General features: G+C 36.7%; 1 long non-coding RNA gene across 1 annotated transcript; it reads right to left on the reverse strand.

Moving 5' to 3' along the window:
• Positions 1-8,878: 8,878 nt before the first annotated feature.
• On the reverse strand, positions 8,879-10,783 carry LOC107984982 (uncharacterized). The gene is made up of 3 exons (XR_001753060.1): positions 10,686-10,783; positions 9,552-9,607; positions 8,879-8,952 (listed from the first exon to the last, which is right to left on the reverse strand). It is a non-coding gene; the product is annotated as an uncharacterized LOC107984982 (long non-coding RNA).
• Positions 10,784-12,252: the final 1,469 nt, after the last annotated feature.

Below are 12,252 nucleotides of genomic sequence, written 5' to 3' on the forward strand. Positions count from 1 at the left end.
TATACTCATGTAAAACCACTGTTTTCCATACCTAGAAATAAGTCAAGCAGTTTAGGGTGCATCATAGACCTGATTGATTAATACATCATATTGTTCATCTTGGAGGTTCATAGAGTAGTATGTTCATCTTGGAGGTTCATAGAAGGTGCTGGACTCAGGGTACAAGTTCTGCCATTCCAGTTTGAGTTCACTTATATGCCTTGACTTTGTATTGATCTTCCTACTATTTGACATGTTCATTTCCTTATATCTGGACTCCAGTTCCTGAGAAGGTGATGTGCTGTATTCGCAATTTTGGGAACAGATGACATAAAAAATGTCATACTTTACCTCCCCTCAAAGCTCCAGTAAGAGACAGATATTCAACTTTGAGGTGGATGCAAACTGCCTCTCTCCAAGGGAGGGATTTATGGCCTTAGACACACACTTATGAGAAATGAATGCAGGCTGGTATTCATTGTTCAAGAGGCTCTTATCTCAATTGTTGCTATGCCTTAAATGTGCTTCTCTCTATCCTTCATACCCTCCTTCACCTGAAGAACATTTATATCCGTTTTAACTCACAACCTAAATATTACTTCCTCAAGATGGCATTCTCTGGCTACTATGTCAAGAATAGGATTCCACCCCCATCACCCACTGCTAAATTTGACTGGCCTTAAGAGAAAAAAATTTAAAAAAACTCATATTGTTTCCTTTTATATTACTTTGATTTTTTCCCCTTTGTAGTCTTCTCTTTTGTGGTTTTTTCCTCTATTGTCATTGTGGATTTTTAACACTTCACATGGGCAAAAACCTGCCTGTTTTGTTTACTGGTATACTCCTGCAGCTGTGATGGTAGGTTTTCATGATGAACGAACAATGTTTGCTGCATAAACAAACTAAAAGAGTAAAATATAACTATCAAAAAAATAAAACCATCTCTTACAGGGAACACATAGATATTTAAAGCAATATTAGCACTTACCCTAAGACCAGGTTATGATGGAAAGAAAGTACTATCTCTAAGCATGGAGGATGAGAACCATGCTCAGTGGCCAACTCGAGCTCAGTGGCTAGAGTTGTACACCCCTAAGACTACCTATTTATCTATTAACTATGGTTTTTAGAAAATTGATGTTAACAAATGTGTGAAGTATTGTACATTGTCATGAATCAGTTGTTATTAGGGTGCCTCTTATTTTGACTATTGGCTCTTATTTCCCCAAAGTGTTGGGGTCTGAATGATTAGCCTCCAAAGACTAATACAGGTATCAAAGGATCGTAGAAGCTACAAGGAGACAGGTTGCAAAAGATAAGTGTCCTTCTCTATGATTGTCTGAATTCAATATACGGGAGGTCTCTAATTGAGAGTGGGGAGCTAAATGTGCCATCACTGAAAATGGTTGAAGTAGATCTCACGAGAGAAATAGTTTCTAAGAAGTAAAGACATTGAAAGTTTGACCACAAAACCTTGAAAAGATGAAGCTAAAAAAAAGCTTGAATCCAAAGTTAGGTATGTGATAAAGAAGCAGAGAGCAGCAATTCATCAGAAAGGCAGGCAGAACGCAATCAACTTTTAGAGCATTTCTGTTGTGCCGCAGAAAATGTTTCTGAGGTCCAGGTCACAAGGTGTCGTTGTTAAAATGATAGATACCCTGTCCCAGGCTGCAAGCAGTTTACCTAGTCCTTATTCCCAGTGGCTCAAAACCTGCACTTAACTGCCTGGGGACGGGGCATCTCAAAACCAAATATTAAGATAAAGAACTAACAAGAATGAGGAATGCCTTCTAATGCTTTTCCTCAGATTTCATCAAATTAAGCATTCAATTCTCACTGCTGAAACTAACCTAAGCTGGCTTTCAGGTTATGGCCACCACATTTATTTCTGTGTTCCTAAAACTTGATTTGAAATTGTATAGAATAGGGCCAGATCTTACTGGAGACAAGGGTGATATAGAGGCTAACAGTGTAAGGTTACTCTGAAACTTTGGACCACAATTTGTTAAGTATTTGACTGATTTTTGTTCGTATATATTTGGTGAACAGACTGAGTTGAGGGATCTCTGCAAACAACGCAAGTCAATCATTTACCAGTCAAGAGCTGGACAATGGATTTTTCCAGGAATCTCATAGTTCTCCTTAAGACTGTTAATATTGGCATTTCCACACTATGTCAGAAGGGATTATATTCTTCTATTAAGATTATTTATTTTTGACTTGATTTTCATATATATTAAGGTAATTTAGAATAATTAGTGAAAATACATGTAATTAACTAACTATAGTAATAATACGTATAAGTGAAGAAGAATGGAATGGTAATATTCTTGCTGGAAGAATGGAATATTACCATTTAGTTTCATCCTTTTAAGTTGCCACTTATACTTGTTATACTAGAGCTCCATCTTTAAAAAATCAAAATCAGTGTAAGAAAGATGACTCATCAAATGTAGTTTTATTTTTAAAAAAAAGAAAGAGAAAAGTGTTGGCTCCCATGCATTCTCTCCTTTGATTGCTACCCCCAAGCTCAACACTTAGAGTTCTCACTTGCCTTTAAAAAGCTTCCTGTGGTCATGATTAGTTGACATTGTAGATGTTTTCTTTCATTTTCCTTTCCTATCTTTTCCATCAAATCCTGTCTCTCAAGTACATCCCCTTTCCACTCCTCTTATTCACAGAAACCCAACTTCCTAGAGACACCCTGCTGCTAATTAATGGTTACATTTCAACCAGGTACCTTTGCGGAACAACTCAGAGGAATAGATAAATCAGTAAATACAATAAGTAAATTGAAGTTGTATAGAAAGATGGTGTATTCATAATGCTATTTTTCTTCAATTGCAATTAACAAATATGATTAAAGTGTAAAAATGGGATTCTGAGCCAAAACAAATAAAAAAAGAAAATGTGTTATCTGTAGAATACTTCCAAGGCGGCAACAAGTTGTAATCATGGAAAAGAGAGCTCTGGAATTAGATAGACCTGGGTTTGATTCTCACACTACCATTACTGCTGTTACCTTTAGCAAATTTAAAAATTCTCTGAGCCTTAGCACTCTAACTTACAAAATGGGAATATTAATGATTACCTCCAAAGCTATATGCAAAAATTAAATGAGATTTAATGTGCAATGTGCATTTATTCAGTGTTACATTTTTTTCAGCCCTACTACATAAAGACACAACTTTAGAGCCCCTTCCAAGTCTTAGATATAGGAAACACAATCTGATGCACTTAGAAGCAGCTGTTTCTATAGCTCCTGTCCTTCCTTTACCTTTTTATCCCATGGAAAGGAAGCAGATTAAGAGGAGCCATCAAGGAAAGAACAGTGGACCACTCCAGGAGTCAAATAAGATAATGAAGAAAACACAGGTATTGGCATCTCATCTGTGCTCAAGTCCTATTGTAACCATTTGATAGATTCTGACCTTCATTCAATCCTTCAATCATTTATCAAATATGTGTTAAGTTATTGCTAGATACTGGACATTTTGGTAGATACTGGAGGAATAGGCGAAGCAGACATTTGCTGTTTTAGGAAGGAGGAAGGGGTAAAGACAATTTTGTAATCTCTATAATGGGGAATGCAGAGTATACCCTAGGGGGAAATCAGTAAATTGCCTAATATAGCCTTAAGGGATTGAGGGAATAGTGATGTATATGCTGGGCCTGATGTATGTGTTGGAGTTATGGGGGAAAAAAGGGTAATTTCATTCAAAAACATGCACTAACCAACTATGTACATACATCTGAAAGTACTAAAAACACAGAGGTGAAATATCAGAAAGATTTCTGTCTTCAAGGAGCTTAACTTCTGCAAATGTTAGATAAACAAATAGGTAAGTAAAATAGAGTACATGTCAGTGGTAAGGAGAAAAGAAAGAGGAGTGGAGAGTGCTTAGGGGAGATCTGAACAGCGTGTTCAGTGTAAACCTCACAGAGGTGACATTTATTTGAGTGGAAGGATCCCTAAGCCAGGAAAACACAATGTGCAAAAACACAAGCATGAGGCCCCCAGATTTAGGTCTAAATGTAGCAGAGTTCAGTGAGAGGGGAAGAGGTGGAGAATGATGAGTCTAGAAAGATAAAGTCCTCATGGGAATATATAAAAGGGATTATGTTTTAAAATATCCACTCCAAAATATTGACACCCAGAATCAAATAAATAATAACTGAAAGCACTTTGCAAAGCAACAAGAATGTTCAGTATGATGATTATTATTATTATTATTTGAGACAGAGTCTTGCTCTTGTTGCCTAGGCTGGAGTGCAATGGCACGATCTCGTCTCACTGCAACCTTTGCCTCCCAGGTTCAAGTGATTCTTCTGCCTCAGCCTCCTGAGTAGCTGGGATTACAGGCGCCAGCCACCATACCGGCTAATTTTTGTATTTTTAGTAGAGATGGGGTTTCACCATGTTGGCCGGGCTGGTCTCAAATTCCTAACCTCATGATCTGCCCGCCTCAGCCTCCCAAAATGCTGGGGTAACAGACTTTGCCACCCCACATCCGGCCGTATTATTATTATTTATAGCACATATTATTATTAGGGCAAGTTAATCCATTCTCTCTAATCCTCAGTTTTACTCATTTGTACCATGGATAAAATAATGACTCTTTAGTCTTCCTTGAGAACAGCATGGGGAAAAATGAGGTATTTAAGCATTATAAAATACTTTGAAAATCCATACTGCTTTTCATATGTATGATACTATTTGTCTTAGGAAAAAATAGATACAGCATAAGTAAACGCTTGTCAGCATACTTTTAAGTTCTTTCAGCTCTTAGAGGGTTCCCAGAGGGGAGAAATATATCAGTTTTCTATATATTTCAAGCTCATCTCTTTTGGGAATATATATATTTAAAAGAAACAACAACAAAAAAAAATCAAGGAAAGAACTTTGTCAGCAGAGGCTCCAAATTCAGCACAGGTTTGCAAAGGTCCTGATCCAGCAGGATATGGATGGATGCTCTGGATATCAAATAAACTCCTAATGTGGAGGGTGTAGTTCAAAGTTCCTTTTCAGTATTGCACAGGTACCAGACTCACATCAGATTATGGGGAGGAATGTCCAGCAACCTTCATGACCAACAGCTACCAAGCTATAGACCTTTCCCAGATTGCTGTCATGGACTTTGCACTGATGTACTAATCCAGAAAACATTCATAACCACATGGTACTGTCTTTGAAATGACCCCAAGGCAGTTCTTCAAATTTGTTAACTCTGCTTTTCATTTGTGTATTTTGTTTACACATTTAGGAAGACTCAATGCCAGTATTTGAAAGTATTGTTTAAATGGCAGGCATATCTAAAAAATATTGTCATTTCTGTGCCTCTGCTTTCCATTTTATTTTGAAACAAACAAAAACAATTGTTTAGTCCAGAAGAGAATAATTCAGAGAAACTGAAGCTTTTGGGGAGACGAGAGAGATTTATTAAGCATTTACCATGTTAGTTCTACGACACTAAAGGTGATCCCAAACATTCTCGGAGGTGTTTTGCTGGAGAAACAAAAATTATACTCTTGTATTTAAAAGTCCTATGAGTTCTCAAAAATAATAATTACTCTTTACTAAGCACTGATTATATACTTAGCACTATCAACAGCCATCATGTGTCTGTGTATACACACATATAATCTCACTTACTTTTTACATTAAAACTATGACATAAACATTATTATCCTCATTTTAAACACAGAGAAACTTAGTAACTTCCAAGGTCACATAGCCAGTTATGTGATAAAGATGACAATTCATCTCAGTTCTGGCCTCCCCAAATTTCATACTCTTAACCACCAGACTAAATAGCATCCGTCAAAGAAAAAATATAAGTAAATAAGGAATTCTACTGCCAATTAGTCTGGTGCTTCACATGAATGTAGAGAGAAAAGCTGTATATCTACAACATCATATGGCTTGCAGGAGAAAATTTTGAGTAGAGAGGCTATTTACCAGGTTTCCTGGAGTTATGACTAGCATAGATAATATTTGTATTTGGTTTAATTGCTACATGTGCTTAAAACAACAGATCTGACCAGATGTGGTCGCTTATACCTGTATTCCCAGCATTTTGGGAGGCCGAGGCAGGCGGATCGCCTGAGGTTGGGTGTGCGAGACCAGTCTGACCAACATGGAGAAATCCCGTCCCTAGTAAAAATACAAAATTAGCCAGGTGTGGTGGCGAATGCCTGTAATCCCAGCTACACAGGAGGCTGAGTCAGGAGAATCTCTTGAATCCAGGAGACAGAGATTGCAGTGAGCCAAAGTCATGCCATTGAACTCCAGCCTGGGCAACAAGAGCAAAACACTCCGTCTCAAAAAAAAAAAAAAAAAAAAAAAAAAATTCACCAGCACCAACAAAAAAAAACACAGATCTATCCATACATGTGAACTAAAGGATCTGAAATTCAATCTAATGATTTAGGGGTAACCCAACTTTGACTTATCCAAGAGATCATCCTTCTCCATTAGCATAAAGGATTCCAAATTGAATTTTTTAGTAAGTGCTTTTAAAGCCAGGTCCAAAAATTTCTCTTTTAAAACTTGCCAAATATTTCAGAAATAATTAAGTCATTAGACTATTTATCAAAATAGAAAATGCATATTTTCTTATATCCAGCAATTATATTTCTAGGAATTTATTTTACAAAAAATTTCACACATCTACTTATAGATACATAGACAGATGTTCATTGAAGCATTGTTTAAACAGTAAAGGACAAGAAACGAAGTTAAGACCCATCAGTGGAGACTGACTGAAACCATTCTTTATTCAATTAATATTCCTCATGCATTCTGTGTGTCAGGGATTGCTTGGTCAATGTGATTTGGATTTACAAATCACAATGACATGGAAATTTTATAGCACTAAGAGACAGAATATTCAAAGGGTTTCATGAACTCTTTAGTTTATCTCAAATGCAGAGAGCAAAAATAGATAAGTAATCCAAACTCTAATTTTAGGCCTCTTCCTATAGGTAAGAAGAGTTTTGAATCATTGATTGATGCTGAGCCTTAATCTTGATACTCACCCCTGTCTGACAAATGACAGAACAGTGCCCACAGCTTATAACCAAATCAAGTCACCCGAAGGGTTGACTAAAGCTGATCCCAGCATGATGGAGGTAGGGAATGCAGGTGGCTGATTGTCCTGACAATGTCTTGAATTTCCCAGGGATTGGAGTAGGTGGCCCCTGTTAACATTCAATCACAAGAATTGCCTATGCTGAATTCTATTACAACGTGTGCTTGTTTTATTTTGCATTCAAATGGGGTGAGTTTGTTCCTAACATATTTAATTAGACATAAATATAAAAAAAAAACACAAAAAAGCAGAATTCCTAAAAAAAACAAAATAAATAAATCTTTAGGGACTCAAAAATATGCTTTTATCTTCTTAAGTGCAGTTAAAAGACAACTTGGAGGAAAGGGCCCAACAAGCTTGTTTGGCATATCTTACTTTAAAGAAGTGATCATAATCTACCTTCCTCTCATCATTGTCCACAAGAAGTAAAAATAATTATGTGGCTGTTTGGCAATAAAAGAGGGGTGGTTCCTTAGAGCTCTTTTGGGAATTTTCCTGAAGATTATCACTTCACTCTGTGTGTGTGTGTGTGTGTGTGTGTGTGTGTGTGTGTGTGTGTTGAAGGAAATATTTAGTAGTTACCTTTGAGCAGGGTGCCTGGAGATTTTTAGTTTTGGTTGGGAAGAAGACTTTTTTTAAAAATTAGTGTTTTATATAGAATAATGTCAGATTTAGAGAAAAGTTGCAAAAATCATACCGAGTGTCCGTACATTCCTCATCCAAGTCCCCCTATTTTTAATAGTATATATCTCTATAGTACACTTGTCACGAATAAGAAGCCAACATTGGTACATTACTCTGAACTCTAAACTTAGATTTCACTAGGTTTTCTTCACTAATGTCTTTTTACAATGGGACTTCTTGAAAATCTTAAAATATAAAAAAATCCCATATACATATGTAATTTATAATTTCTTTTCATAATCCAAAATTTGATGCTTATTTATCAGGAACTTACAATATGATTAAGATGCTCTAAGGAATTGAGAGGAGTAGTTGCAAAGAAAATGTAATCCTCTCCTTTAATTTGCTTATAATATGTATATTTTTTAATTATAATGAATATTTTACCAAGAATTATCTGTAATCAAATGATAAGGATTGCTAAAAATTGTTATATTGTTTAAAGAGCCATTGACACTTTATATTTTAGGCACTGTGCAAGGCATTTTACATGCTTTACATGCATTATCTTGCTTAAGCCTCACAATAACTGCAAACAAACAAGTGGGTATTACACCTACTTATCTATGAAAGCCAGAATAACCAAAGAGACAACTTGTGTAAGGAAAAACAGTATGTGACAGAGCTAGAATTTGAAACTCTTTTTTATGACTTCAAAGCATCTGTCTCTTTTCACTATACCATTAACAAGTTAATGGTATAGTTCCTATTAACAAGTTAAACTTGACCATTATAAGGTCAAATAAGTTGACTTTCTATTTCTGAACTCAAGCTAACTGACAGGATAGGGAAATTAAGGCAAGAAGGTAGAGGATATTAAAATAAAAAAGGAGACTCATCAAAAGTAAAATCGTTGCACATTAATTTTGCACATTTTGCATAATCTTTAATAGCTATTTTAAATCACAGTGTGCTCAAGACATTAGGAATATAAAGCACACTCAACTTCAATGTTCCTTAATGTGCTTGTAGCTCATACCTGAAACTGCATTCCACTATGATTTGTTCCCATTTTCATTAAATCTTGGGCTTTTAAAAAATTTTATTTCTTCCTCCTGTAGATTCACCTATAAAATATGTTGAGAAATCATATCTTCTCCTGAGGCCTTCTTTTCCAGATACTGTGTATTTCAAAGTGATGGCCCAGAGGTGGAATAGAGATTAAGTGGAGGAAGATGCATAGAGAGGGAGGCTGCATCTGTGGTGAGAAGAATAAAGCAGAGAGAGATTCGAAGAGGGAATAGGCTCTTGGCTTAAAGTATCATCCTCTCTTAACATGGGTAAGGGCTGGCACTTTTCACCAGAGTTGTATTTTCATGACATCATATTTATTCACAGGTCTTATAGCTTAGAAAATAAGGACTCAGCAAGAAATTTTAAAAAGTTATTGAAATTCAGACTTCTCTAGAAGTTTAGCTTTTTTCTGGATAGACTCTACACTCAAAATTAGGAAAGTACTTAGATTAGGTTTATTCAGTATTTCTGAGACTTACAGGATTAAGACAGAATAAAAACCTTGCATGCAACTGTGCCTCATTACCAAGGAGGAAAGTAGTAACCCATTAAAATCAAACACTAATGATTAAACAGTATTAAATCAGTCTTCTCAGTCTTATTAATGCAGACTATCATTTCTTGAAAAAAAAAGCTACCCAAATAAAGATATGAGATTACTCATGGTGTAAGTGAACACAAAAATAAATACAACTAAGACAAATCAAATTGCTATCTTAATTACACTGTAAGTTCTTTGACAGCAAGGAACATGCTCTCTTTTTCATGTATTATCCAGCTTACCTTGAAACCTTTGAACATGTTCTTCATTGGTGAACCCATTATTTGTGATACAATAACTACAACAGGAAATAACTTTCATTAATTTGCATCATGACTTAGAGAAACAATTCAAGAGTTTGAATTAAAACACACTGGCTATCACTGGCTCTATGACTTTCGAAAAGCAATTTACAGTACAGAATTGTAATGACATATGAGAAAGTAATTTTAAAAGTAAAGGTGTATATATAATGTTTTACTATGAATAGTGTAATATATAGTTAAATAACTTAGCTGGCCCCTAATTATTTATATTATTCTTACCCAGAGTATGTTTGACATTACAATGATTGTATAATAGGTTACACCAGAACACAGGATGTGCCATTCATCAAATCTTATTCTAGGTCCCCAAACAGATACATATTTCAGTGCAAACACTGTAGGGAGATGCCTTGAAACTATTGCTATGGAATAAAAGATGAAATGCTCCTGATTATTGTAAATACAAAATTGCATGCAGGATTGTGTAAAGACAATGCCAGGTTGGGCTGCCAGAATGAGCCAACAGCGCATGATGTGCTTCCCCCTGCAGAGAGCCTATAAATGAACGTGCAGTCAGGGAGGTTTCACATCACCAAGATTCCTATCCCAGAAAAGTAGATATTCATAGCTCTGGGAATGGAATGCGACCCTTGTGGAGAGCCTATAAGAGGACACATGCGGGGCGCCTGTTCATATGGATAAGATAGGGCTATAAAAGCCCTTATCTTGCCACAGCTCTTCTAGGTCTCTTTAGGGTTAAGGCACACTCCCTTCTGAGAATTTTTGGTCTAACCAGTTGTCTAGCTTAACTTCCTGTTTCTATTGATTGTTCGCAACCAGCTTTTGCTGCAACTGTTACTGCTGATTAATATCTTGCTAATCATAGGTTATGGATAGACTGTGTTTCTGTTTTAAGACTCTGTTAGAAATTGCTGACACACACACTATATTGAAAATTCTTATCTCTGTATACTGTACTTCTGCATACCGATGTTATGTTAAAGAATTACTTCATCCCCATGTGACCATCTCACCTCATAATCAAACGACCCTAAATCCCTCACTAACCTACCCCGCCCTCACTAAACTTAATAATAAATGCTGGTATACCCAGTGCATTGGCGGCATCACAGGACCAGAAGGCGGTGACCCCCCTGGACCCAGCTTTCACTATCTTGTGTGTGTCCATTATTTCTCGTCCTGCCGATCTGCCTGGGAACAAAGAGAGAGTCCCATTGCATTGCAGGCTACTGGCCAGATCCCGCAATAAAACACGCCATATCATTTCCTTATTAGTAAGAAGACTAGCTGATATTTAACATATCAGATTTAATTTGATTTTCCAATAATGCAGAATTATACCTGGCAGCTCATTTACTTTACTGTGTACAAGTACTCTCTTCCTAGTGTTTGCAGGATGAACCATTGTCTTAGGTGGAATTATCGCAGATACAGACTAGTAGCCAAGGATTTGAGTGCAATTGATTTATAAGGTAAATGTTCCTAGAAGTAACTGGTAAGGGAGAGGAAGAAGCTGGACAGAAAAGAGAAATAAACTGAGCAAGGGTACAATTTCAGAAGTTCCAGCCTCAGTCTGATCTCACAGGGAGCTACGGACTGTACATTATAACTCAAAATTTGTGGTCCCAGGAGGCAAGGGAACAGCAGCCAGTCTTTGGCTCTTGGCAGCAGTGCTGGGGTGTGGGTTGGGGAGAGTGACTCAGAGGGAGGCAAGCTGACTCAGCAGAAACACCTGCTGTCTTTCACAGTTTATTATCTGCCTGCCTGAGTCAAGGATCCTTTGGTCACAAGTAATAAAGGGTACCTCAAGCTTGTTTAGGCAAAAAGAAACTTATTAAACTAATATCTGACTATGTCATAAAATACTAGATAGGAATAATAGCCTGGGACACCAGGGACTGAATGTGGAAACCAGAAAGCCAAAAGGGACCAAAGAAGTCTTTCATTTTCTATCTCTTTCCCCAATGTGTCTCTTGCCTCTGTTTCTTTCTAAAGAAACCCTCTCTCTGATGCTCTTTTGTATATTATGCCCTCCAGTTCCTGAATTTTCATGAACTTTCTGTTGCAGAGAAAATGTAGACTGACTCAGAGCTTCTATCTCTTAGTTTTAGACCTTGTAAGAGGGAATCTGGTTCAGGTAGCAATCTTTTTCCATGAGATTGCTGGGAAGGAGAAAGCCAGCATCATAAAATTTGCCTGGAAGAACCCATCCCTGGCAACTCACAAAGAATCAGTGTGGACTAGACAAGGACCCTGAAAGCATTTCTAATATACTACATAAAACCTACTCTTCCAACAAGTAGAGGAGTGTGTAGGAGGTGGCAGTTAAATGTTTTGCTTTTAAATGTACAGTCTACCTTTGAACAACATGGGTTTGAATTGCCCTAGTCCACTTTTGTGTAAATTTTCTTCTGCCAACCCTGACACAGAAAGATGAACCCTTCCTCTTCCTTTTCCTTTTCAGCCTACTCAATGTGAAGATGACAAGGAGGAAGACGATTATGATGATCCACTTGCACTTAGTAAATAGTAAATATGTTAATATATTCTTTTCCTTATAATTTTATTTATTTATTTATTTATTTTACTTTAAGTTCTGGGATACATGTGCTGAAGGTGCAAGTTTGTTACATAGGTATACATATGCCATGGTGGT

This window comes from Homo sapiens, chromosome 17 (genome assembly GCF_000001405.40).
Source record: "Homo sapiens chromosome 17, GRCh38.p14 Primary Assembly".
Taxonomy (NCBI): domain Eukaryota; kingdom Metazoa; phylum Chordata; class Mammalia; order Primates; family Hominidae; genus Homo; species Homo sapiens.